The sequence below is a fragment of the Homo sapiens genome, chromosome 10 (assembly GCF_000001405.40).
Source record: "Homo sapiens chromosome 10, GRCh38.p14 Primary Assembly".
Lineage (NCBI taxonomy): Eukaryota > Metazoa > Chordata > Mammalia > Primates > Hominidae > Homo > Homo sapiens.
In genome coordinates, this window is record NC_000010.11 from 69,719,227 (window position 1) to 69,746,184 (window position 26,958).

At 50.2% G+C, this 26,958-nt stretch overlaps 3 annotated features.

The window, feature by feature from the left end:
- Positions 9,150 to 9,952: an enhancer, noted in NCBI's record as "H3K27ac-H3K4me1 hESC enhancer chr10:71488132-71488934 (GRCh37/hg19 assembly coordinates)". NCBI's record gives its function as "activates a minimal SCP1, AML or CMV promoter by ChIP-STARR-seq in naive H9 embryonic stem cells {active_cell/tissue: H9 hESC(naive)}" and the evidence as "EXISTENCE:reporter gene assay evidence [ECO:0000049][PMID:30033119]".
- Positions 12,945 to 13,599: an enhancer, noted in NCBI's record as "H3K4me1 hESC enhancer chr10:71491927-71492581 (GRCh37/hg19 assembly coordinates)". NCBI's record gives its function as "activates a minimal SCP1, AML or CMV promoter by ChIP-STARR-seq in naive H9 embryonic stem cells {active_cell/tissue: H9 hESC(naive)}" and the evidence as "EXISTENCE:reporter gene assay evidence [ECO:0000049][PMID:30033119]".
- Positions 19,877 to 20,481: an enhancer, noted in NCBI's record as "H3K27ac-H3K4me1 hESC enhancer chr10:71498859-71499463 (GRCh37/hg19 assembly coordinates)". NCBI's record gives its function as "activates a minimal SCP1, AML or CMV promoter by ChIP-STARR-seq in naive H9 embryonic stem cells {active_cell/tissue: H9 hESC(naive)}" and the evidence as "EXISTENCE:reporter gene assay evidence [ECO:0000049][PMID:30033119]".

Here is a 26,958-nt window from a genome sequence, read left to right on the forward strand (position 1 = left end):
GTATTGAGCATCTTTTCACATGCTTATTTGTTATCCACATATCTTCTTTGGTGAAATGTCAGTTCAAATATTTTGCCCACTTAAAAAATTGGGTTCGGCCAGGCGCAGTGGCTCACAACTGTAATCCCAGCACTTTGGAAGGCTGAGGCAGATGGATCACCTGAGGTCAGGAGTTCAAGACCAGCCTGGCCATCATGATGAAACTCTGTCTCTCCAAAAATACAAAAATTAGCTGGGCATGATGGCTGGTGCCTGTAATCCCAGCTACCCGGGAGGCTGAGGCGGGAGAATCACTTGAACCCGGGAGGTGGAGGTTGCAGTGAGCTGAGATCATACCTTTGCACTCCAGTTTGGGCGACAGAGAGAGACTTCATCTCAAAAAAAAAAAAATTAAAATAAATAAATAAATAATTAAAAATGGGGTTGTTTGCTGTTTGATTGAGTTGTAAGAATTCTTTATATATAGTCTAGATATAAGGCCTTTGCTGGATAAATTTGTTGCAAATATTTTTCCCAGTGTGTGGTTTGCCATTTCATTTTCATAAGCATATATTTTTGAAGAGCAAACTTTTAAAATTTTGAAGCCCAATGTATTTATTTTTAATAGTTTGTGCTTTTTGCATTACATTTATAAAACCTTTTCCAAATCCAAGTCACTAGGGTTCCTCCTATGTTTTCTTCTAATTTTGTAAATTTAGCTCTTACATTTAGGTCTATGTTCTTTTGAGCTAACTTTTATATATGGTGCAAGTTATGAATCTAAGTTATTTATGAATTCAAGTTCCTATTTATTTATTTATTTTTGCATGTGGGTATCTAATTGTCTAATTGTTCCAGCACCATTTGTTGAAAAGATTATCTTTTACGCATTACCCGGCACCTCTGTCAAAAATCAGTTGATCACATACAAGTGGGTCTACTTTTAGACTCTATTACTTTCTCCCAGGTACAGATCTCCTTCTCTGTGGGTGGATGTTTGGCCATAGCCTTTACTAAGATGGACCTGTCCGCTGGTGCTTACCTGGTGATTGGACTGTGTACCTGGGCTGCCTTCTGACTCTGTAAGAATGACCCCTATCTCTCGTTCCAGACTAAATGTCCACTATTGATCTATTGTCTATCTTCATACCAATACCCTATTGTCTTGATTACTATAGTTTTTAATAAGTCATACAATCACATAGAGTAAGTCTTTCAATATTGTTCTTTTTCAAAGTTGTTTTGGCTGTTCTACATCCTTTGTATTTCCATATAACTTTAGAATCAGTTTGTCAATGTCTACAAAAACCCTACTGGGATTTTAACGGGGATTTTATTGATTTAATGGGGATTTTATTGATTCTATATATCAATTCGGTGGAAATATTGTCTTATAATATTGTCTTCCAATCCAAGAACACAGTATATCTCTCAATTTATTTAGCTTTATAATTTCACTCAGCAGTGCTTTGTAGTTCTCAGTGTAAGGTCTTACACATCTTTTGCCAGATTTATCCCTAAGTATTTCATATTTTTTCATTCTATTGTAAATGGTAGTATTTTATTTTATTTTATTTTATTTTATTTTATTTTATTTTATTTGAGACAGAGTTTTGCTCTTGTTGCCCAGGCTGGAGCGCAATGGTGCCATCTCGACTCACTAGAACCTCCACCTCCCGGGTTCGAAAGATTCTCCTGCCTCAGCCTCCCAAGTAGCTGGGATTACAGGTGCCCATCATCATGCCTGGCTAATTTTTTGTATTTTTAATAGAGACTTTGTTTCACCATGTTGGCCAGGCTGATCTTGAACTCCTGACCTCAGGTGATCCACCCACCTTGGCCTCCCAAAGTGCTGGGATTACAGGCATGAGCCACCAAGCCCAGCCTATGGTAGTATTTTAAATTTCAATTTCTGATTCTTGGTTGCTAGTATATTCGAAATACAATTGATTTTTGTATAATGATCTTAAATTCTATAATCTTCCTACTCACTTATTAATTCTAGTACCTTTTTTGTAAGTTTTATATGATTTTCTTTTTTTTTTCTTTGAGACAAAGTTTCATTCTTGTTGCCCAGGCTGGTGTGCAGTGGGGCAGTCTCAGCTCACTGCAACCTCTGCCTCCTGCCTCAGCCTCCCAAGTAGCTGGGATTACAGGCACCTATAGGATTTTCTATGTAGACATTTATGTTATCTGCAAATAAAGACAGTTTACTTCTTCCTTTCAAATCTGGATGTTTTAAATTTCTTTTTCTTGCCTTATTACACTGGCTGCAACCCCAGTGCAATGTTAAGTAGGAATGGCAAAAGTGGACATCCTTGCCTTGTTTCCAGTAATGGGTAGCAGGGAAGTTTTCAAGCATTTACTCCTCCTTGGCTTTTATTGGCCCTGGCAGGGGTGACCTTTTATAACTGGTTGGAGGACCCCAATGTTTGCCCCAGGGCATTGCGCTCTTCTTTCCAGTGTTTTGGTGCAAGCCCTGTTGAGCGTGAAAGTGCCTTGGGGACAGGGATGGTATATTTGACTCCAGCTCTCTACACCGTGCCTGGCATGGCACTCAGCATGACAAATTCTCATTGCCAACCAGGTCACTAAATCAGGCCGAAAGGGCCTGTTTGTACTGCTGTCCACCCCATCCCCTTTGCTTTCCTCCTGGACAAAGGCAGCCATGCTTCCCTCCTTTCCTTCTCTTCCCCTCCAGAAACCTGAATGGAAGGAGACATGAAAGGAAAGCACTCAGGTTTCACCAGCATCAAGTTACTTCTATGCGGTGTCCTCATTCGAAAATAAACCTGAGGGGGTAAGGGAAGGGGAGGTGGTGACAGAGACAGGAGAGAGCTGTTATCACAGCTCTGCTTCCAGGCTGTATTTTTAGGCTGGCATTTAGGTTTGGCCTGGGGACAAGGGGCTGGAAAATGCAAGGCATTTCCTCTTCCTGTCAGCTGAGACACGGTGTGTGTGTGAGTGTGTGGACAGGGCCCTGCCACCTTCCCACTTAGCGCCTCCAGAATAGCAAACAAAATACACTTCCTCCGCAGGCCTGCTGCGCTCCTCATCTTGAGACTCTATCAAGGCTCCTCCCCAAACTATGAGCGCTGTTAACAGCGCTAGGCAGCTCCTCAGCCATGGGAGGGACGAGACTCTGAGGTCCTGGGGGGGATATTTTAGAAGGTCTCAATGACAACATAACAGGTTCATTTGTTTACTTGTTTATTCATTACTGCTGTGTATCGTGCATGAGCTACGTAACCACTCTGTGCCTCAGTTTCCCCATGGAGATGTCACTAAAACTTGCTTCATAAGGGCGCTGAGAGGATTCAATGAGTTAATACTGGATATAAAGTGGTAACGTGCTTAAAACAGCACTTGGCAGGTAGGAAGGGCTGAGGAAAGGTTTGCTGTCATTATCTGAGTGCCTACTGCATACCACCCTTGAGCTTGGGTCCCCCGGGGGCAGGGGCTTCGGTGGTGAATGAGACAGGTACTGTCTCTGACCTTTTGTAGTTTACTCAGTTGGAGACCTGGTTGCCGCCTTTGAGCAGTGTAAGTTTTCAACCACAACTTTGGACCAGGGTCCTGGAAACACATGGAGTGAAAGGTCTTCTTTACCACTACAAGGTGACAAACTAATCAGAGACACGAAGGTGTTGATGTTATTAGCACTTTGTGGAGCTCTGGCTGGCTTTGTTTCTTTTTTGCTCTGTGAAGTTGTTTCACATCTCCGGGTCTCATTTTTCTCACTTGTAAAATGAGAGGGAGAATACATACAGTGGGATATTATTCGGCCTTGACAAGGAAGGAAACTCTGGCACATGCTACGACACGGAGGAACCTGGAGGACATGATGCCAAATGAAGTAAACCAGTCCCAGAGAGACAAATACTGTATGATTTCACTTGTGGATGGTAACCAGAATAGTCAAATTCAGAGAGACAGAAGGTAGACTGGTGGTAGCTGGGGCCTGGGGGAAGGAGGAGAGGGGAGTTTTTGTTTAGTGGGGATAGAGTTTCAGTTTTGCAAATGTAAAGAATTGTGGAGATAGTGGTGACGGATGCACATTATGAGTGTGTTCAATACCACTGAACTGTATACCTAAATAGTTAAATTGGTAAATTTTATTATATGCATTTTACTGTTTTTTTTTTTTTTTTTTTTTGAGATGGAGTCTCGATCTGTTGCCCAGGCTGGAGTACAGTGGCATGATCTCAGCTCACTGCAACCTCTGCCTCCCAGGTTCAAGCGATTCTCCTGGCTCAGCTTCCCAAGTAGCTGGAATTACAGGCGCATGCCACCACACCCAGCTAATTTTTGTATTTTTAGTAGAGATGGGGTTTCACCATGTTGGCCAGGCTGGTCTCGATCTCTTGACCTAGTGATCCGCCCACCTTGGCCTCCCAAAGTGCTGGGATTACAGGCGTGAGCCATCATGCCCAGCTTATTGTAATTTTTTAATTTGGAAAAAAATGAGGAGAGCAGTTAAAGTAGATGGTTACCTAGGTCTGTTCCAATCCTTCCTTCTACAAACCAAAATATCTCTTTCTTTCCTTTCCTGTTGTCTTTCTCTTTCACACACAGTTATCAGGGCTGCCTGCTCCAGAGCACAGGTTGTGCACTGCACAACTCCAGGGAGTGCCCTTCTTCAAGACTGCAGCGTGGGTGGCACAACTTGTTCAACTGCATAATCCAGTCTGTTTCTGATCTACCTGATCAGAAGGTAGTCTCTTGTGTCCATCTCCTGAGTTTATGCAAAGTAGAAAAAAAATTCAGCATCAACTAGAAATAGCAAACAGAACACATTTATCTGATCTTCCCCCTTTGTATCATCCATTACATTTAGAAGATTGTTTTATGGTTGGTTTCTTTTGCCTGAGACTTAGCAAGTGCTTGTTGACATTCCCAGTCATTCATTTTGCAAATATTTCCCAAGCACTCACAGTGTGCTGGGCACGGTGGAGGTGCTGGACACAGCTAAGCATGGAGTCCCTCGTCTCATGGCACATGCATTATAGTTCCAGGAGGCAGACCAGAAACACGCAAACAAATAGGAAGCCAACGTACAAGAGTGTTAAGTGCCATGTAGACAATGACTGATGGTCCTGGGCAGGATGGCGTGAGGGGTTGCTTTAGACTGTGATAAAGGAAGGCTTCCTGGGGGAGGTGATATTTGAATTGTCACCTGAATGACAAGAAGGAGCCAGCCAAGTGTATGTGGGGGCAAAGTCCTCTCGGGTCTCCTCACATCGGGCCTGGCAGGGAAGGGGTGAAGCCACCTCGTGCTCTTGGCCTCTCTTCCTCACTCCTTGCCCTGTCTTCTCCACTTTCCTCCACCTGAGGAAAAATCCCCAGAGGCCTTCCATTCAGATAACGGAGAAGCCTTTGCAAGAGGGGGCTCAGAAATCTCCACCCAGACTGGAGCCTCTCCTCCATCCTTCCCCTTCCTACAGATCCCAGCAGAGAGAAAGGAGTCGTTCAGGTCTCTCTCCTGAGTAGATGTTTGGGGTGGATCTCCTCTGTCAAGCCAAATGTTACAGGGATTTGTGAAGGCCACCCAGGAGAGGGGAAGCCCAGCTTACTCAAAGGCTGCCCTGACTGGGATGGTGGGATAACCAGGATCACTAGATCAGGCTGACAAAGAACAAAATTGCCTCCACTGTCCACAAGAATGGTGGTGGGAGCACCCTGTTGGAGCAGGTGGCCATGAGTTCGAACCCTGTCTCAGCTTCTTACTGGCTGGGTGACTTTGAGGAGGCAACTTCACCTCTGTCTCAGTTTCCTCATTTGTAATAGGGGTGCTGTGAGGACTAGGAGAGTTTACCCACACAGTGCTCAGGGCAGCATTTGGTGCACAAAACACGTGTGTTTGCTCCGACGTCATTTTCCAGGAGGGTTTCTGTCCACTGCAGAGTTGTCTTCCATTCGTCAGCAATCTCTTTTCCACCTCTACAAACACAGCCTTGGCTCATTCACAGAAGTCTTGATCTGGAAGAGACAGAGCTATAGACAGGTCAGGGGAGTGCCTGATGGGAGTTTCTGGTATGTGGGAGAATGGGGCAGCCTATGCGGGACAGTGTTTTCCTGACTGTGTGGACCAGTGTTTTGAGCTTGAATATGTAGGTATCTACATTTGCTTCTCTAATCAAGAGAGAGTTCCTTACTGCATTCTACTAGCAAAGCCCATCCATCCATCCATCCATCCATCCATCCATCCATCCATCCATCCATCCCTCCATCCATCCATCCAATCCATCCATCCATCCAATCCATCCATCCAACAAATATTCCCTAGCACTTATTTTTGCTAGGTATTGTGCTGGCTTTGCAAAGGTAAGTACTTTATCCTAGGTTCCCCTGGAAACACAGCCTGTGGTCAAATTTATGTGCTAATGTTTTATTGTGGGGTGCAACCCCCAGCAGCAAGAGTGAGGAGGGAGAAAAATAAGGCAGAGGGGAAGGAAAGCAAAACCCAGCTGTGCCCTTGGCATGATTTGAGGGCTTCGGGGCAGCCATGGCTTCTGAAAGGAAAGTTTTGAGTTCAGCATGTCTTCTGTGGGGCTTTCTTTGCTTCTTTTTAAAAGCTTTATTAAATAATGATAAAATATACATAGACTAAAACTTACCATTTTAATAATTTTTAGGTATACAGTTTAGTGACATTAAACACAATGACATTGTTGTGTAGCCATCGCTACCATCTATCTCCAGAACTTTTCCAACTTGTAAAACCGAAACCCTCTACCCATTAAACATGAACACTCCCATTCCTCCTTCCCCTCCAGCCCCTGGTAACCACCATTCTGCTTTCTATCTCTGTGAATTTGGCTCCTCTAGTTACCTCACGTAAATGGAATCATACAGTATTTTTTCTATTTGTGACTGGCTTATTTCACTTAGCGTAATGTCCTCCAGGTTCATCCGTGTTTTAGCATGTGTCAGAATTTCCTTGCTTTTTAAGGCTGGATAGGATTCCATTGTATGGATAGCCCACATTTTGTTTATCCATTTATGTTTGATGGGTGGTTGGGTTCCTTCCACCTTTTGGCTGCTGTGAGTAATGCTGCTATGAACATGGGTGTACACAGATCTGTTTGAGTCCCTGCTTCCAATTCTTTTACTTCTATAGATCCAGAAGTAGCATGGCTGGACCATATGGTAATTCGACGTTTAATTTTTTTAAGGAACCTCCATCCTGTTTTCCAAAGTGGCTGTGCCATTTTACATTCCATAGGGCTTTCTTTCTTTTTTAGACACAGGGTCTCACTCTGTCACCCAGGCTGAAGTGCAGTGGTGTGATACTACCTCACTGCAGCCTTGAACTCCTGGGCTCAAGCAATCTTCCTGCCTTGGCCTCCTGATACTACAGTTATGTACCATCACCCCCAGCTCTGTGGGGCTTTCTCTTAAGGAGCAGGTGTGTTGTGAATGTCAGATGTCCCCCAAATGAAGCACCAGGTGCCCCTAGTTTCCTTCCTTCATCCTCACAGTAGCTTAGGGTTGTCATAATGCTCTTGCTACCCATTGTCACACTGACTTTGAGGTGGTGTCATTATACCCCCTTTACAGAAAACGACACTGAGCCCCAGAGTCTAAGACGGGCAGCTGCTGGTCTGTCTGTCCAGCCTCCATTCTCCCTCCCCCTGGTTACAGCTTCTCAATTTTCCATTGGGGAGCCACTCCTCTACTCGCAATGTACGCTGAGGCACTGGGGGCTGCCCACACTCCTTGGCTCCAGGGGCAAACCAGATATTTCATTTTCCTTGGACATGGTGCTTGGTTTAGTAGGAGTTTCATGACCCAAACCTGACCAACCAGAGCCTATGAGCACCTTTTGGAAATTTGCCAAGAGTTTGGGGAAGTGGAGTTAGCTTTCAACTGGGATTGCTAAGCAAATAGAATGTGAACCTTCAGCTGCTGGTAGCCACTTCTACCACCCCTTAGGATAACTGAAACTGAGCAAGAAGCCAACCTAGAGACATGAAACCAAGAGGTGAAAAGATAGACTCCAAACAATGTCACCTGAGCACCTGGATTTACCTGTGAAGCTACTAGATATGCTCTTGGACTTTTCAATTACAGAAGCCAGTAGATCTCCTTCTTAGCTTAAGCAACTGAGTTGAAGTTCTCTCTCTTGCAGGATTTTTTTTTTTTTTTTTTGGACAGAGTCTCACTCTATTGCCCAGGCTGGAGTGCCATGGTGCAATCTTGGCTCACTGCAAACTTAGCTCACTGCAACCTCCATCTCCCAGGCTCAAGCGATTTTCCTTCCTCAGCCTCCCAAATAGCTGGGATTACAGGAACCCACCACCACACCTGGCTGATTTTTGTATTTTTAGTAGAGACGGGGTTTCACCATGTTGGCCAGGCTGGTCCTGAACTCCTGACCTCAGGCGATCCACCCACCTCAACCTCCCAAAGTGCTGGGATTACAGGTGTGAGCCACCGCGCCTGGCCTCTTGCAGGATTCTTGAAGGGAATCCTGACTAGTTCGGGGAGTTTAAGAAACTCGCTCAAGATCAGCCAGGAAATGGTGATGCCAAAAACTCAAACCCCTAACGGAGTTCCCAACTTAGATCCGGATCCCGGCTCAGGATCAAGACTAGCCGTTGTTGGACTGTCCTCCAGAACTCTAGGATTAGCATCCCGAGACGGGAGCTAGATCTTGGCTGAAGCACTGTAGGAATCAGCGTAGTCACAAAGCACAGAACTCATGAGCTGAACCTAGGCAGGAATTGGCATGTTACCACCCAAGGGCCAAATCCAGCCCACCTCTTGTTTTCGTACAGTCCACAAGCTAAGAATTCTTTTTACATTTTTAGATGATTGGAAAAAAATCAAAAGAAGAATATTCTGTGGCATATGAAAATTATATGAAATTCAAGTTTCAGTGTCCATAAATACTGTTTCATTGGAATGCATTCATATTCATTCATTTGCATGTTGTCTATTGCTGCTTCGTGCTTCAAGAGAAGAGTTGCGTAGTCATCGAAGAGACCGCCTAACATTTTAGTACCTGGCCTATATAGGAAAAGTTTACCCATTGCTGCCAAGCTCTGAGCTTCCCTCCTTAGCTTTCTTGTGGCTTTTTTCCCAAGCTACTCATCTCGTCCCTTCCTGCTTCCCCTTCCTCCAGTCCTGGTTCTTAAAGAGGCAGGACCTCTGTGAAATCAGTGAATGCTTGGGAAGCTCCCAGCACAGAGCCTGGGGCACTGTTAGTGCTCAGTCACTGAAAGGTGTTGGGAAGGAACCTGAGTCAGCAGTGCAGCATATACGTGCAGCCTCTGCATCCTGTCTCTGCTGCTCACTCCCTGTGTGACCTTGGGCTAGTTGCTTCCTGTGAAATAGGAATAAGAATAGTCCCTACCTCATAGGGCCCTGGTGAAGATCAAATTAGTCATTGCATGTAAAGTGCTTCCAAGAGTGCTGGGCACACAGAAAACGTTTGATAAGATCCTAATTGTCATTGTTTTTCTCATTGGCTTAATCTCCATGGAGGATCTTGGGAGCTGCCTACCATTGAACCTGGCCCATGTTTGGCCCAGGGCCCCCGAGAAAGGTCAAGGCTGTGCAGGGAGCAGAGAGCTGGCCTCCTGACTCAGAGCCTTGGCAGGCTGGGGCTTCATGACACCCCTAGCAGGAGGCAGCCTGGGGCTGAGATGGGGGCTTAAAAGCAGGAGATCCTGGGCTTGGCCCTCCCAGCAAAGGGATGTGTGTGTGTATCTGTAGCTGGATGAGACACTCTTTCTAGGAAAAAAAAGGGCAAACAGGTCCACCCAAAATGGCTAAAGGCAGCCCCATCTGGGGTGGGCAGTTTCCATGGCTGAGAAGACCACAGAGCCACTGGGGCTGCCTTGGCCTCCACCTCGGGCGCAGGAGCCAGCTGAGCCCCCATTACACTTTGCTCTGCCCACCCCTGTCCTGGCAGCTCCTCTTCTGGCGAACCAGGGCCCAGGACAAGCAGCCCAGAGAGGCCGGAGCCCTGAGCCGGTACAGCAGGCTCCGGTGGGGGAAGTGGGCAGAAGAGTGATGGAGCCGGATGATCAGGGAAGAGCTTCCAATTCTCAGCTCCAGGCTGTCCCCTCTTGTCCCAGTTCACCGGGTCTCTTAGGCTCCAAGCCTGGGCTGAGTGGAAATAGGCAGAATTGAAGGGTCCTGGGGCTTCTGCCCAGGCTCAAGGCCACCCAAATGTTCTGGAAGTCCTGTGGGAGGGGCACCTCCGTGGATCTGCTGCCTCCTGTCAGGCCTCAGCTTTGTCAAGACCTCAGTGAGGGGTGAGCTGAGTGGCTGGGCCTGGCTGTCGCCCTGTCCCTCACTTGGCCCAGCCCGGGCCCCCTTCCCAGCCACTCACTGCAGTATGTTCCCAGCCGGAGCCTGGTTCTGCAGCTCCCAGGCAGGTATGAGCATCCACTCCTTCACCAGGAGGGCAGGACAGGCAAGAGGGACTTCCTGGGCCATTTCAGCAACTGTCGCTTTTTAGGAGACACACTCCTAGACAGAGGCACTCATACTCCCCACCCATGCAGAGAAGCACACGCCCCTTAGCTGCCACACACCCAAGGCCACTCGGACACACGTGCCTCCCTTTGCATGCACACGTCCTGCTGATACCACCTAACCTAACTGTGTCTGAAGCTCTCGGCTCACTCCTGGGTTTGTCTGAAGGCCAGAGCAGGCTGACGTTAGCCTTCCGGAGTGACTGTGAGAAGCAGGGCCAGGGGACATCACACAGAGGCCACCAGAAGGTCAGCAGGTTCTTACACATCATCTGGGCCAGTGGCTCCCACACCTTGAGGCATGCCTTAGGGGCCTTTGTGAAAAATTATCATGTCCCACCCCAGACTTGGTAAATCAGAATCTCTGTGATGATGGCAACTGAGGTGGGGGACTGAGATCTAGCAGACTCTCTAGCGGTTCTGACGCTGGATAGACTTTGTAACCTGATCTAGTCCAACCCCCTTACTGTTCCAATTCAGTAACTGAGGCTGAGAGAGGGAGAGTGGCCTGTCCAAGGTCACACAGCAGTTGCCTAGGCCAGCCAGGACTAGGACCCAGGACTCCTCACTGCCCAACCCCAGGCTTCAGGTCTGCAGAGATCCCCATGTCCTTCCCTGTCCCCACCAGCCTTGAGTGTCCCCCTGGCCTGCCTCCCAGTAAGGTCAGCTGGCTTTCATGTTCTGCAGTGCCCAGCAGGACCAGGGCCAGGGCTAGCCTGCAGCCAGCAGTCCTCTGGAACAGAGGCTGGGTGACTGTCTTCAGCTCCCTTCCCACGCAGAGGGCCCCTGCTCGGGAGGCCTGCTTTAGGGAAGGTGAAGGCTGGGCTCCCTGCAGTCACAGATGTTTGCCCCAACATGCTGAGCGCCCCCACCCTACTCCTGGGGGAGGCCGGAAAGGCAAGTCCTCACGCTGCCCAAACATCTGGACTGTGCAGAGAGAGCCAAGATGCGCTATGCAGATGTTTTCAAAGCTGATGCCGGGTGTCAGCAGAGAATAGACATCTGGGTGGATGGCCGGGGCTCATGCTAAAGGGCAGGGTAGATTGCGGCCAGTGATTCAGGGCGGTGTTGGCACAAAGCTGGGGGTGGGAGTGTGGCCTGGGGACTTCACTCCCCCAGCTGGTTGGCCTCCTTAAGTGGGAGTCAGATCCCCAGGGCGGCAGCCAGGTAACGTTCACACGATAGCTACCACTTGTTGAGCACTCACCACATGCCAGGTGCTGTTCTGCATTTTGCATGTATTATCTCATTTAACCCTGACAACAACCCTGTGGGGCAGGTACCATTACCGTCCCCCTTCTCCAGGCCACTGAAGCACAGGGAGGTGATGTCATGGCCCAGTCTCACCCAGCAAGCCGGTGGCAGTGCCAGGCTCACACAGAAGCCCATGCAGGTCACCTCTGAACAGCCCCGCTCCATCCCATGAGTGACCCCCAGTGGTTTTTGGGACCAACCCCACCATGCCCTTCTTTCAAATATTACATTTGCATATGGGGGCATTTTGCATAGAGAAAATGGGTTTCTGGGCAGCGTCCCTTTTCCTGTGTTTGGAACTTGGGGAAAGGATCCACTAGGAAGGCAAGCCAGGCCCTCCTCCCGGGCCGGTGGGCAGCTGCTGCCAAGTCTCCCAGGGCTTCTGAGACCAGAGGCTGCTTCCTGAAGGAAAAGTGAGCTCCCTGTGGCTGAGGCCAGCTGTGGCCAGCAGGGCTATTTATTTTTCTGTTCCTAAGCCTTTAAGTCATCTGTTTACATAGGCAGTAGAAGGAGTTGGGCTTGGTGTCCCTGCCTGGTGCCCTCCCTCCCTCCCTCCATCCTGGGCCTTGCAGGCTGAGCCAGGGACCCCCAGAGCCAGTGGTGGTAGTGATGGTGGAGGGGGTGTGGTGGGGAAGCTCTGGGGCCTGGAACTACAGGGCCACTGGGAGACTCTGCACTCAGGGCTCTGGCTGTGATGATGACCAGGCCTAGCCACTGCCTCCCCTGCTTCCCACCCTTTCTCCCCAGATCCTGTGGAAGTCCTCAGAGCCTGGAGCCTCACTTTCCGTGCCCCCTCACCCATAGCAGGTATCCAGGCTCTGAGCTCTCCCCTTCCTTCAGCCCAGCTGGCTCTCCAGAGCAGCCAGACATCAGCCACCCAGCCCGTGAGAACACTCACCAGCCAGCCCCCACCCTGCCAGGAATGGGAGTGGGGAACCTTCCCCAGCTCTGAGCCCCCAGAGGAGCAGGCCCTGGCCCGCCCCCTCCACAGGCATGTTTTGAGGCCTAGAGCAGCCATGCTCTGGGGCAGGGCCGCAGACACAGGGGAAGAAGACGAGGTTTCCTTCCTGAGAGGAGCAGGGGAGAGGGACGCACACGCGTAACCCCAGGACCCCTCACACAGGTGTCTTGATAGAAATGCCTGGAGGCCCTGAGGGAGGTGGTTTCTCTGAGCGGGTGACATTGAGTGACTCTACAAGGGTGGGTGACTTCTCCGTTGGAGAAAGGGAGCTTCAGTGCATGCAGGAAGAAGGAGGCTCCCAAACCCATGGTGCAGCTGAGGGAGAGACGGCAGAGCACGCAGGAGGCCACCCAGGTGTGTGGCCAGAGAGGTGGGTGGGGCCAGCGCACCTGGGGCCTGAATGTCCCCAGACAGAGGCCATCAGGAACCGCGGAGCGCTTGGGACAAGGGAGTGACAGCATTGCAATGCTAGTTAAGAAGGAAATCCACAGGAGTGAGGGGAGGGGCAGGGAAGTCCCCCAGGAGGACTGAGAGTGAGACAAGGTGAGACAGGCCGGGGCGGACAGGAGAGCAGACTGCAGAGATGTTCTCTCCCTCCAGAGGGGACTTAGGGAAGGGATGTGGATGGAGAGAGAACCAGGGCCCTCCTCTCTCTGGACCCCACCTGTGCCCGTCTGCTCATTCAGGCCATGGGCATGGTTCTGCCACTTGAGGCATCAGAGTCCAAGCCTGGCTCAGCTGCGCGGCGATGACCTTCTCATTCTGGTCAGCAACTATCAACTAAACACCTGCTCTGTGCCAGGCCTGGGGTTGGCAGGGAGAGGGCGGCAGAGGGGAGGGATAGAGGGCCTGTTGGGGCGGGGGGGAATAAGGAGCTGAATGAAATCGTGTCCCCACCCACAGAAAGGCAGGACTAGGGCAGCCAGCCTTGGCCTGAGGCAGCCGTGCCAGGGTGACTGGGGACAGAGGAACTCGGGGTCTGGCCCTGAGCAATGTGCTGGATTTACAAGTAGAGACAAGGTGGTGGCATTCCAGGGAGGAACAGGCTGAACAAAGGCCCAGAGGTAGAGTTCACAGTGTGACAGGCACAGACAGATGCCACAGCCCCGCTCCTTCCCGATGCCGGCCCTGGGCCTCAAGGTCATCTTCTGGCCTGGGGTGGTGGTCATGGAGGATCCAGGATATCTAGATTCAAGTGCTCTCCCTGCCGTCTGGGCTGCCTCCTTCCCATGGACCCAGGACCTGCCCTCCCAGACTGTCTTCCTTCTTGCTCTTGTTTGTCCCATCCTCCTCATCCCTCCCATCTCACGTTGGGGCTGGGAGCTCATTCCAGGCTTTGCCTCTCCACAATACTTTTTCCCTCGGGGACACCTGAGGGATGAGCAGGACTTAGCTAGGAGAAGAAGAACAGAGCATTTTGGCAGGAGGAACAGCATGGTCAAAGCCCCGAGGTGGGCAAGAGCTTGGTGAGTTGGAGGAACTGAAAGGCAGTGTGGCTGGGGTGTAGTTGGAGACAGAGACAGATCTCCAGGCTCTGCCATGATTCATTTCCAGAGCATTCAGCCTCTCCACCAGGAAAATGTCAAGAAAAAGCAGCTCTGTTTCCAGAGAGGGAAACTGAGGCACAGAATGTGGTTGAGGGAAGGTGTCTCCCCTCATGCCTGGGGCTCATCTCTCCTTCTGGGCACTGTGTTTTCTGGAGAAGAGGACTCTCAACTGAGGCCCAGAGAGAATCTAATGCCTGATGATCTGAGGTAGAACAGTTTCATCCGGAAACCATCACCCCCCAACCCCCCACCCCGTCTATGGAAAAATTGTCTTACATGAAACTGATCCCTGGTGCCAAAAGGTTGGGGACCACTGCTCTAGAGCACACTGGGTAGCAGGGGTGTGACCTTTTCTGGAAGGAAAGATCCAGGATCCCCTGGGTGCCCTGCCCTGGGGACTGTGGTCTGGCTTCCAGGGATATCAGCTGTCCTTTTAAGGGACCAGGTCACCAGTCAGGCCTATTGGCCTTCTCAGGAAGGCTGAGGGCTGTGGAACATTCCCGCTCTGTGAGGTCCTGCAGGGCAGCTCATTGCAGAGGACACGGAGCAGCCCCCAGCTTGCTGGCCAATCCCCCTCTTCCTAGAACCCCCTGAGAAGCAGAGAGGGAGGACAGCCCTTGGGACGCCCAGGAGCAGGAGAGAGAGCTACAGGGAGGGGCCAACAGCAAACTTTGAACCCCACCCTCTGTTGGGAACTGCCCAGTAGGGACTCCAGACATTTGGCTTCCAGGGCTAGATTTAGTTCTGACTCACTGGCTGACTTTAGACAGCTCACATAATCTCTCTGTGCCCGGGTTTCTTCTCAGGAAAATTGCAAGAAAAAGTCATGTTTTTCTCTTCCTTCATCTTCCCAGTCAAAGGGAAGGTGAAATAAATGATGGGCGTTCCTGTTGTCTCTTTGTTATTATGCAAACAATTGGGTGCTACAAAGGGTGCAGGACAGACAGATAAATCCAAAGCTCTCGGATCTGCCTTTGAGACCAAATACAAACACGACTGCATGAGTGCATGCAGCATGCACACTCACACACACACACACAGAGGCAGGCACCAACACATGCACACACACTCACACACAGAAGCATGCACCAACATACACACACATATGTACACACAGAGGCGTGTGTGAACATGCACACACACACAGAGGCATGCACCAATACACGCAAGCACACACAGAGGCATACACCAACGCATGCACACACACGCAGGCATGCATGAACATGTACACACACACAGGCATGCACGAACACACGCACACACACAGTCTGCTTTTCCTTCCACTCCAATTTTGCCAATTCAGTTAGACTTTGAAACTGAGACCCAAGAAGAGGCTCCAGGTTAGGAGTTCCTGGTGCTAAGTCACAGAACTGGGTACATCTGTGCAGAGGCAGTGTATGACTGTTGCATCAGCCATGAAGGTGGCTGAGTTTGTGGTTGTAATGGAGATAAAAGTTGTGGCTTTGCGGTTCCGGTAATCATCTCAATTTCACTTTTTTTAGACACTACTAATATCTTCTTCCAACCCACTCCTCCTAACCAGAGAAGCCCATCCATAAGTTTAGAGCCAAGGTCAAGGAGGCCTGGAGAGGTGAATTCACTTGTCCGTGGTTCCACAGTTGGTTTTAGGGAGGGGACAACGCATCGAGGGCCCTTCCCCTACTTGGCTGCCCCGTGACACACACACACCTCTGTTGAGAAGCCCTGGAGGTGGCTCATTATGACCCAGGCTGTGTCTGAGACCAAGCTAGGAACAGAAAAGAGGCCAAGACCAGGAGCAGGAAGTGGCTGGAAGCAGAGTGGGACTTGAGAGTGAGCAACTGGCCCCTAACTGGGTGACTATGAACTTGACAGTTCCTGGTGGGGGTGGGGGGCGAGCCAGCAGAGCAGCTGTGGCCTGAGAGCTGGCCTTAGCCCAGACCTGGCCCTGGGAGGCAGACTGGCATGCCCCGGGCTTCCTCTCCAGCAGCCAGCCCCTTCCACAGAGGGCACTCTTGACCGGACAGCTGATGACCAGGCCTTTGCAGGGAGAGAGAGCCCAGTGATTAGGCCATTCAACTGCCATCTCATCTCCCTCTGCAGACAATCCACAGTGGCCTGTGGTCCCACACCTGTTCCCTGGAATGCCTGCAGGGGCCTGGGCAGGGCCTTCTCCCTTCCTCAGCCTCTCCTAAGGTAGGAAGAGTCCCCTCCACTAAGCACCGTCATTCTCTTCCTGTCTCCCCGCCACATTGCCCCTTGATTTGAAGTAGATATTGGGAATGGAGGCACTGTTCCTGATGCAGACGAGGGCCTGAGGAAATACTTGCTGCCTAAAATACCTAAATTCATTCGTGCACTTCTATTGCTTTCAAGGATCTGCAGTGGCAGGACTTGATAACAGCAAAGCTGCCCATGGCTGTCCCTGGGACTCCCCTTTAAAACAATGATCTGTCACTCTGGAGACAAACACAGGTAAGTGGCTGGGTGATGAGAAGTGGTTGGCCAGTCTGTCTCCATAATATTAACAATGTCATCACAACAATAACTCATTCATACACCACTTACCCTTTGCAAAACACTCTTCTTAGCACCTCTCACATATTAATACATTTAATCCTCGTAACCCTATAAGGTAGGTATTATCATATTAATTCCCATTTGATGGATGAGGAAAACAAGGCACAGAGATGTTACGAGCTTTGCCTGAGGTCACACAGCCAGGGGTTTGGATACCAGGAGGCTGGCTCCATAGCCCTTGCTTTTAAGCACTTATGCAGACCGTCTCTGGACTCAGATGGTTCAACAGCTGCATTGTGATCCTGTTGAATCCTTATTTGGCTTCACATACTCTTCCTGGATGGTACAAAAGCCCATGCCAAGCTGGGCACCGTGGGTCACACCTGTAATCCCAGCACTTTGGGAGGCCAAGGAGGGAGGATCACTTGAGCCCAGTCCAGGAGTTCAAGACCAGCCTAGCTAACATAGCGAGACCCTGTCTTCTACAAAAAAATATAAAAACTTAGTTGGGCATGGTGCTGTGTGCCCATATTCCTAGCTACTAGGGAGGCAGAGGCAGGAAGATTGCTAGAGGCAGGAAGATTGCACCTAGGAGTTCCAGGCTGCAGTCAACTATGATAGTGCCACTGCCCTGCAGCTGGGTGACAGAGCAAGGCCCTGTCTTAAACATAAAAAAAAAAAATTTTTTTTAAAGCCCATGCCAGCATCAATTCACATCAGAGCTCTTTTGTAAAGGATCTACACAGTGGCTCCTTTTAGGCTTTTGCTGTCTTCCCCTGCTGCGCCCCTGCTCCCCAGCCCTCCCTCTCCCAGGCCCCAGCCCTGCATCCCCCACTGGAGCCATGGCACCCACAGCCAGCCTAGCTCTGTGGGGCTCACAATTATGCCCTCCCTGTGGAAAGCCACCCGCTGATTCCTCCCCCTACTCTGAGTCTTCCCCCTGCTCTGCATCCTCCCCAAACAGCTGAGCCTGTGCGATGTGAGAAGGGAAAGGACTTGCCAGAGGTTTCCAGAAAGCCTCCAGAGGTCACTCTGGCCTGGCTCAAGTAGGTTGGGCCCTGACCACCGCTTTGAATAGCTACTGTCCTGCCCTGGGTCCACTCCCTCAGCACAGAGCAGGCTAATTGGTGGGTGGGAAGCAGTGGAGGCCTGGAGGCTGGTCTGTCCCGAAGGAGGCAACGGAGGAGCCAGGCATTTGACACAGCAGCTGCCAGGTATCCAGTGCCAAAGAGAAGATGGAGTGGAGCATGGAGACTCTCTGGCCCGACCCTGCCACTCAACAGCTGGTCACCAGCCACACCCCCAACCTGCCAGCCTCCCATCCCTCCCATCCCACCACCAACTCACCCAGCCAATACCCAGCCTACCCAGCACTCAGCGTGCTCCCCAACCCCCAGCCTGACCCAGTACACTTACCCCACTCCACTACAACCTCCTGGCCTACCCCACATAAACACCCTTCCTGGCGATCTCTAGTCTGCACCCACACCCCAGTCAGCAGGCCTACTCCTATCTAGCCCCCAGCCTACCCACCCACTCGCTGGTGAGCCCACTCGGTACCCAGGGACCTCCCCACCATGAATTCAGCCCCTAACTGCCCCGGGTCCCTGACTACTCACCTGCGACATCAGCCAAGTGCCAGCCCGCCCACCCTGTGCCCAGCCTGCCCACATCCCCACTTCATAAACCAGAGCCGCTTTTTCCAGATCCGACTCCATCCAAGCTCCAAGAAAGGCAGGCTTGCCAGCTCTTCCAGGACTATCCAAGAATTATTTTAGAGGCTTCAGACTTGGATGGAGATATTTTATCCTCGGGTCAGGGGAGAGCAGAGCAGACGGGGTGGGGGCACTTGAGAGAGTGTGCCTCTGTGCCCCTGGTGGCTCCAGACCTGCCCCTCTGGGAGAAGACGAGGTAGCTTCCTGTACCTCCTAACCCCTTCTACCGCAAAACTGTTGGAAAGACAGTAAGTTTCCAAAACTAGGAGCCAGGCTGAAGGGGTCCCCAGCAGATGAAGTTCCAGAGGCCCTAGCGAGATAGGCAGCACTTCCAGCACTGAACATGCCAGAGAAAGGAAGGCAGAAGGGAGCGATAGAAGGGTGCAGGGCAAGATCAGGAGGCCTGGAGGCCTCTCCTGGGCCCCGCTCATGGGTGAGCCTGGGCCCTGGGCTGTGAAAGTCCAGGTTTCTGGGTTTAGACACTCACTGTGTGGTTTTGGGCAAGTCACCAGGCCTCTCTGAGGCTCTTGAATACAAGAGTGTTGACTGAGAGGATCTCTAACCTTCCCAGGCACAACCCTGCTGCTGGCCCTGGACTGGGGAGTCCTTGCCAGGAGCTTGGCCAGGCTTCTGGTCCTCTCTGCCTTGGGCATTCTGGTTACAACCACGGGGTTCCTGCTTCACCCACTGACCAAGCCCTGCCTGTACCTGGTTCCTGCATGATCCTCTGTGGCTGAGCAGGAAGGGAGGCCTCCCCACGAATTTCCAGAGATGAGGACGCAATCAGCAACATCACCACGGCCAGATTCTCTAGCCCAGGGAGGGCAAATAGGCTTTATTTCATGTGTCTGCACCCACTGACTGCCAGTAGCTGCCTGGGGCACAGTTCTGAGAAGAATCCTAGGCTCAGTGAGAAAGTGCCAAGGTCATCTAGTGATGTCTGCATAGGCACCTGAATAGCGAAAGGGGCGTGAATGCCAGGAACTTGGGAGTCCTGAGGAAGGGCCAGGCTAGCCTCTGGGTTTCTTTCCTAGTGTTATCCCCAAGCCTACAGTTCAGTCTTATTTGAACGTGTCTTCTCTCAGTTGTGCTATGGAAATTAAAGGAGAACAGTGAGTGTACTCCTAGATCAGATGCCAGTTAGGAGATAGCGCGATCTTCCCAAAAAGATGCAAAGATACTGTGGAGTGTGGCCCTTTGTGGACCCTTTTTGTGTTTTTACACTTTAAAAAAATTATAGGGTGTTTTTTTTTTGGTGAAAATGAAAGCTCCACGAGGGCAGTCTTGTTGTTTTCAACTGAATGAATTGCTTGCCATGGAGAAGGTTGTGTGTTACTCATCCTTCATTTGCTCCTCCCTTCCTGCCTCATTCACTCACTCCAAAATCATTCACCCATTCATTCATTCATTCACTCATTCGCTCTTTCATGCAGCAAACATTCACAGGGGCCCCATCTCACCCCCACTGCCAGGGGAGTCTCTGTTCACCCTTCTCAACGAGGCCAGGGAGGATCTCATGCTAGGAAAGTCTGGAGACATGATGAAAGGAGCCATCTCTGTAGGGCCAAGGCCCATCAGGGACTCACTGCATGGATGTGGACTTTTCGTTTCCTCACCTGCACGTGGCCAGTGGACAGCATGAGAAGGAAAAGGGAGGCAATGCCAAAGCAAAGGGCAAGCAGGACACTTCCTGGCCTTGATAACATGAGTGCCGCTTCCCACCCAGAACCAAACTGGGGGCAGAGGAATCAGGCTGAGGCTTCAAGGAAACCTGGCCAGCATCCAGGGGCTGCAACTGAGCTGGTCCCAGCTCAAGTCTCCAGATGAAGAATGCATCCTGAGGACTTGGCCTGGCAGGACACCTCTCGCATTGTTACAGTGGGGTCCATTTATGTGTGAGTGAGCACATGCAGGTGCCTATGAGGAATTTGTGTGTTTACATGTGTGTGCATGTGTGCGCTTGTCTGAATGCATATACACACTGCACAGTATTCCCCAGCAGCATGGGCAGGCGGGGTGTGGGGGTTTCCGGCTGGCAGACCCTTCCTTAAAAGGAAGCGTCTGCCCTGCCCTTCCCACTCCTCCCCCACATCACAGTCTCCTCCTACAGCCTGCAGTCCACCTCCATTTTTGGAGGCCCCTTTAGTACAGTAGCAAGGACTGAAACTTCCTGGGTTTGAGTGACTGGCCATGTGGCCTCAAGCAAGTGAGTTTCCTCATAGGCAAAACGGGGGTCTTGGGTTATTCTGGGGACAAGGAAGCACAGTGCATGTAAAGCACACCACTCAGCGCCTGCCCCGTTCTTCCTGCCCTGGCGATATGCTAAACAACAGGGTCTCCACTAGGCCAGATGGGGAGGGGAAGGGGAGGAGAAGAGACCCATTTCCCAAAAATATTGACTTCGACCTTGAACCCAAGCAGCTGGTCAGAGCTGGTGGCCTCTTTCTGGGATTGTTTATGTAGCTTTCCTTGTAAACACAAAGAATGGAAAACAAACCCTAAAATATTTAAAAATAAATAAATGAATAAGGAATCGTTTGTGGGTGGCATAGACAGGACCTAGGGCAGATGGGGGCAGCCATCAATGCATTACCCTGGGATTAAATGCTTGAGTACCCTGGAGCCCCAGCCCAAGACTCTTCCCCCACCTCCTCCCCTTCTGGTTACACATCCCTGTTGTTCCCACCTTCTGGGAGAGGCCTGAATCCTGCAGCACTGTCATCTGGCCACTTCTGTGAAGAGAGCAAAGGGCCTCTGCCGGGAATCAGCCCAGCTCTGTCCACCTCTGTGTGACCTTGGGCGAGTCACTTTCCCTCTGTGGGCCTCAGTTTCCAAGGATCTCTAAGGCCCCTTTAAGCAAGCATTGACATCCTGTGATTCCCTTTGAGCTCAGAGTGTGGTTATGACAGCACTTTGACTAGAGTAAAGAATCCTATCAAGAGATGCTCATTAGCACGATATTGGGGGATGGAAATAGCTCTACCCTTGGCTGCTGGGAAGGATTCTTATTAGAAATCCTTGAACTTTCTGTTTTGGGATTGTTTGGGCCAGATCTGGGCCTGGATGCAACCTGAGATATTTGTTGGTGATTGGTGATCTGTGCAAGGAGAGGATCTGGCTCCTTCCTGCCTAGGGGCCAGTGGTGCCCCCAGAACTGTCTCTCCCCTAGCCATGCACCCACCTCCACCGCCACACGCACACCCAGGAGAATGACATTACCTTCTCTAGTCCTTCTGAATGCTGAGCTCAGGGGCTGGGGAGGCCACTCTGAGGTCTCTTGTCTCACTCTGGCCCAGAGCAGAGCCGACATGGAATCCCAGTACCCACCCCTGAAAGGGGATGGCATCATGACCCTCTCTCCCAGCCAGATTCTTTCATAGCCTGGGCCACCTGCAACTTTGGTTTTCAAAGGCATGTTTCAAATGAATGATGGAGGCTTTGAGTCATTGCTCTGAGATGGAAGTACAGGGGTGGGGAGAGTATGGGCTTTGACAAGACAGCAGAGGGTGGGTAGTTAGGAGACCTGGATTCACCATGTGTCCTTGGATAGGTTGCACTCCTCACTTCTAGGTCTCAGCATTCTCACTGTTCTTTGTTCTTTTATATATAATGCATAGTTACTGAGCAACTACTTTGTACCAGGTGCCATGCCAGGCATCGTGGGTACATTAGTGAACAAGACTCAACCTATGCCTTTGAGGAGGTACAGGGATAAGCACTCCATTGCACCTGTATTATCCCTCCCCACTCCTGCTGCCATTGCAGACATCACTAATCAACCACAGCATGCTTTAACACTGAGCCCAGACATGACCTCAGGATCTCTTTGAACCCAGCACTCCAGTGTTTCCAACAACTACCAAGTGGGGACTAGCCCCCATTATGCCTTCCTCACAGGGTTGCACAGAGAATAAAAACAAGATTGTAATTGGGTGAGGGAAACATGCTCTAAAATCAGGTCCAAGTGCAGAGTTTTTCCCTAAGCCTATAAGCATGGAGAGCAGCTGATAGGGCAGGAGGGTGCTTCCTTCTTCAAATATCCTTGAGAATTAAGCCAAAGGGCCAGGAGCAGTTTATGTGCAAAGACTATGTCTGTCCCCAGTGCCCAACACACAGCCTGGCACCCACTGCCTATTCTTAAATCCTTGTTAGATAAATGAATGCATCTTCATATCCCTGCCCAGCTGGGCAGTCACCTACCAGGGCAGGCGGCCATGTCTGCTTGCTCCTTTCTGGAATAAGTCAGCCCAGCCTACAAACAGACAACTCTTCAGAAGGCAGATCCAAGGCCCCTGGTGCAGATAACTGCAGTCAAATACACCCCACCCGCACCCCAGGCCTCGTTCAAGCATCTTTCCTTCCTTCTTGGCCTTAACAAGGTGGAGCATGTCTGTTTGGCACCTTCTCCCTTCTCACTCACTTGCTAGATAACCAGGGATTCAGGCTGACTGTGGAAACCTCTGGGGTGTCTGGGACCTGAGGCTGCTCCCACAATGTGACAACACCTGTGCATTAATGGAGGGAAAGGAGGCTGGGGAGGGAGGCTGCTCGCCAGCCTCCACTGGCTAGGCTCCACTGGCCTGCTTCTTTCCAAGGCAGACAGATGAGGACAGAGGAGGTGGCTTCCCCCGAGGGGAAATGGAGTATGGGCTTGGTGGGGCCTCTGCTCTATGTGTTTATGAACTAGAATCTCACATAGGAATCTAGCTCTGCAGACTTTAAAGCCCTCTCCCATCCTGTAGCTGATGTGAAGCATATAAGGCCCTATGAGAAAGGCCATGAAAGACTGTTACTGCTGCTCTGCCTATGTGGAAGCTGGCCCAGAGAGGTTAAGTGACTCATCTTGGGTCACACAGCCTTTCAAGACCAGCTGCACATTCATCATGTCTGCCATCTGAATAGAAACCTGGAGATGGCATGGGCCTGAAGTCTACAGAAGGCTGCCCTGTAGGAGTAATAGGGCACTCTGCACAAGTGTCTAGGCTCTGGCGTCAGGGCTGCCCAGACCCAAATCTTGTCCCTACCACCCTCAAGTTGTAGGAGCTTAGACACATGGCTTAATCCACGAGACTCACTCTCCCCCTTCAGAAACTGGGGAAAATATTACCCACTTCACGAAGGTTTTGGAAAATTATGTATTTCTTTCTCTTTCTTTCTATAAACATGTATTGAGATTTATTGTGCCAATGGGGTACAAACATGAGCATGTCACCACCTCTGCCCTTGAGCTTAAAGTCTACATATAGATCAGCAAATAGTAAAATACAATGTGGCTGGGGCTGTGATTCCACACACAGATCTGGAGAACTGAGGAAAGAGAGACTAACTGGGGTTGGGCACGCTTTGGTACAAGGATGACCACTCCATCGTCCTGTATTATCCCTCCCCACTCCTGCCACCATGGCAGACATCACTAATCAGCCACAGTACACTTTAACACTAAGCCCAGCCATAACCTTAGGATCTCAAGGGGACTGAGGTACTGAAGGGTGAGTAGGAGCTTGCCAGGTAGACACAGTAGGTTGGAAGGATATTTGGGGAAGAGGAAACAGCCTTAAAAAGACATGGAGATGTGGAGAAAGATGGCATGTCTTGACAATGGGGGAAGGTTTGGTGTGGCTGGTATATGAGCTTCACCACAGAGATGAGGCTGAAGACGTTGTCAGGCTGCAGCGTGAGGGGATTTGAAGCCAGCCAGGCCCAACAGCAGAGGGCGACAGTGGGAGGATTTCCTGCAGGAGAGGGCTGGGAGGCTTCCAACCTGGCCCTCTTCTGAGGCTGAGAGTCAGGCCAGGAGCTACTGTAGAGACTCCAGCATCCTTGGGACATCAAGAAAGGGAGGGGGTCAGAGGAAGGACTAAGAACTAAGGTCTGATCCAGGAGCAGACACCAGGCCGCTGATGGCCCTAGGTGTCAGGCTAACCTAGAAAACTCCCACTGCACAGAAGCAGCATGGTGGGCTCAGGAGTAGCAGTTCACCCTGCAGGCTCTTGTTCCAAGGCTTCCATTTCCAGATATTTGGCCGCCAAGGGAGGGTGGCCCCTCCTGGGTGGTGAAGACCAGAAACCTCACTTTCCAGAGGGGAAGGCTAGAGATTGAGAAAGGTCAGTGAGCCCACCAAGGGCACATAGCAGAGCTGAGGCCGAGGGCAGATGGCATGGAGGGTTTCCAGAGCTGTGAATGCTGGAGCCTTGGCCCTAATCTTGTCAGAGGGGACTGAGAACAGAGCCAAGGAGGAAAAGCCATTGAGGGGGCCTAATGGGCAGCAACGGGTGGCAGCACCCAAAGCAGAAGGTATTGGCTACCCGCAAGACAAGTTTTGGGGCTTTTATTTGCAAAGCCCAGGCTCTTAATGGGTCATTGTGCTGATTGTCTTGTGGGGTGGGAAGCGTGGTGGGACTCGGGGGAGAACAGAGCAAAAGGTGGGAGCACTTGTTGAGGAACATATTTGGAGAGGCCCCCCTCCTTCATCCCCAGGCTGGGAAGAGAAGGGTGTTTGTGGAACCTGAGACTGTGGAGACCAAAGCCCACTGTCATGCAGGGCCTCTGAGAGACCCCTAAAATCTCTCAGGGGCCCTGCCTGAGATTGGGCTTTCTTCCTCTTCCTGGGGAGGCAGGAAGAGTGCACATTAGGAACCACTGCCCCGAGAGCTGCCACCAGAGACTCCTGGAAACGAATGAAGCAGCCACCTTCAATGGGTCATGGGAGTTGGATAATGAGGACACTTTCCAGATCCTTGTGATCCTAGAGAGACAGGAGCCCCTCAAAACATGAGCTTTGATGCCTTTTCCTCCTTCCCTGGGGAATCCAAGGTCATCTCTGGAAATACTGACTCTTTTAATGCCCGTCTTTGTGCGTTTGAGCTGTTATAACAAAATACCACAGACTGGGTAATTTATAAATGACAGAAATGTATGGCTTACAGTTGTGGAGGCTGGAAGTCTGAGATCAAGCTACGAGTAGATTCAGTGTCTGGTGAGGGGTGTGCTCTCTGCTTCCAAGATGGGGCGGGGGTGCGACGCAGGGGCAGAAGTGAGCAGGCATGGGGTCTGCATGCCCACATCAGTGCCTTATCTACCAGGCAGTCAAGCTGGTGTCTTCATGGGTGCAAGTAAGTTGTAAAAGTGGCTCAAAACTTCAGCGGGCATACTTTGGGTTGTAACTCAACTGTTATCTCTTGAGGCAACCTCCTGGTGGGTGAGAGTTGGGCTCTGGAGCTTCTAAGCACATAGTTAGATGAACTTGCCCTGTAAGGAATGTCTGGTGAAGAGGAGGTAAAAGGCTGTCATTGCATTTCTAAAGGACAGAGTAAGAAGTGGGAGAAAGGAGGAAAGAAAAAAGAAGAGAGAGGAAAAAATAATTAAACTATCTCTTAGAAAAATGGGGGTACTTGATTACGTTATAACTGAACACCGGGGAGGCAGCAGAACATCAAAGAAAGAGAATGAAACTTGATGTTTGATGACCTGGCTGTGAGTCTTTGCTCTGCTATTTATGTGCTCCATGTCCTGGGACACACCTAGAGTAAGCAGGGATCACTGCTGCAGGGCTAGGATTGGAAGCCAAGTAACATGCTGAGAAAAGAGCCTCGAAACTCATACAGAAAAAGGACCAGATCCACAATCGATATGGAATCATAAGTCAATAAAGGACAAATGACACAATAAAAAAGCAGGCAAATGCTCTGAGCAGATAACATGAAGAAACACAAATGATCAACACATACACAGAAGCAAGCTCTCCCTCATTAGTAACCAGGGAAATTTAAATGCAATAGTAATTTTCATCAGATCGGCAAAAGAGCAAACTTAATTGTGGTCAAAGAAAAGTAGACAAGGGTGTGGGGTAGGGACCCACACACCTGTGAGCGGAAGTATAAATTGGTACAGTCACTTCCTATGGCAACTTTGCTGTAATCTATTAAACCTGAAAATGGGCATAGCCCATGACCCAGCAATCACACTTCTCGGAACCTATTCTAGGTACCTACCCTGAAGAAACACTAGCACGTGTATGGGGTTTTCATTACAATATTGATGGTAAAATAAAAATGGAAAGCGAAATATTCCCAGGAGGAAATAGCTAGCTGAAATGTGACCTATTCCACAATGGAACACGATTCACTAGTTAAAAGATGATCCTTTTGTACCTACATAGATAGATCTCAAAATCACTGTTGAGTGGGAAAAAAATACAGTCATTCCCCTCTTCTCTGTGGTTTCACTTTCTGCAGTTTCAACTACTCATGGTCAATTACAGTGTGAAAATAGGTGAGTACAGTACCATAAGATATTTTGAGGAAGAGAGAGAGAATACATTCACATAACTTTTACTGTAGTATGCTGTCATAATTGTTCTATTTTATTACTAATTTTGTTGTTAGCAATCTCTCACTGTATCTAATTTATACATTAAGCTTTATCATAGGTATGTGTTATAGGAAAAAAACATAGTATATCTAGGATTTGACATGGTTTCAGGCATCCACTGGGGGTCTTGGAGAGGATCCCCCTGG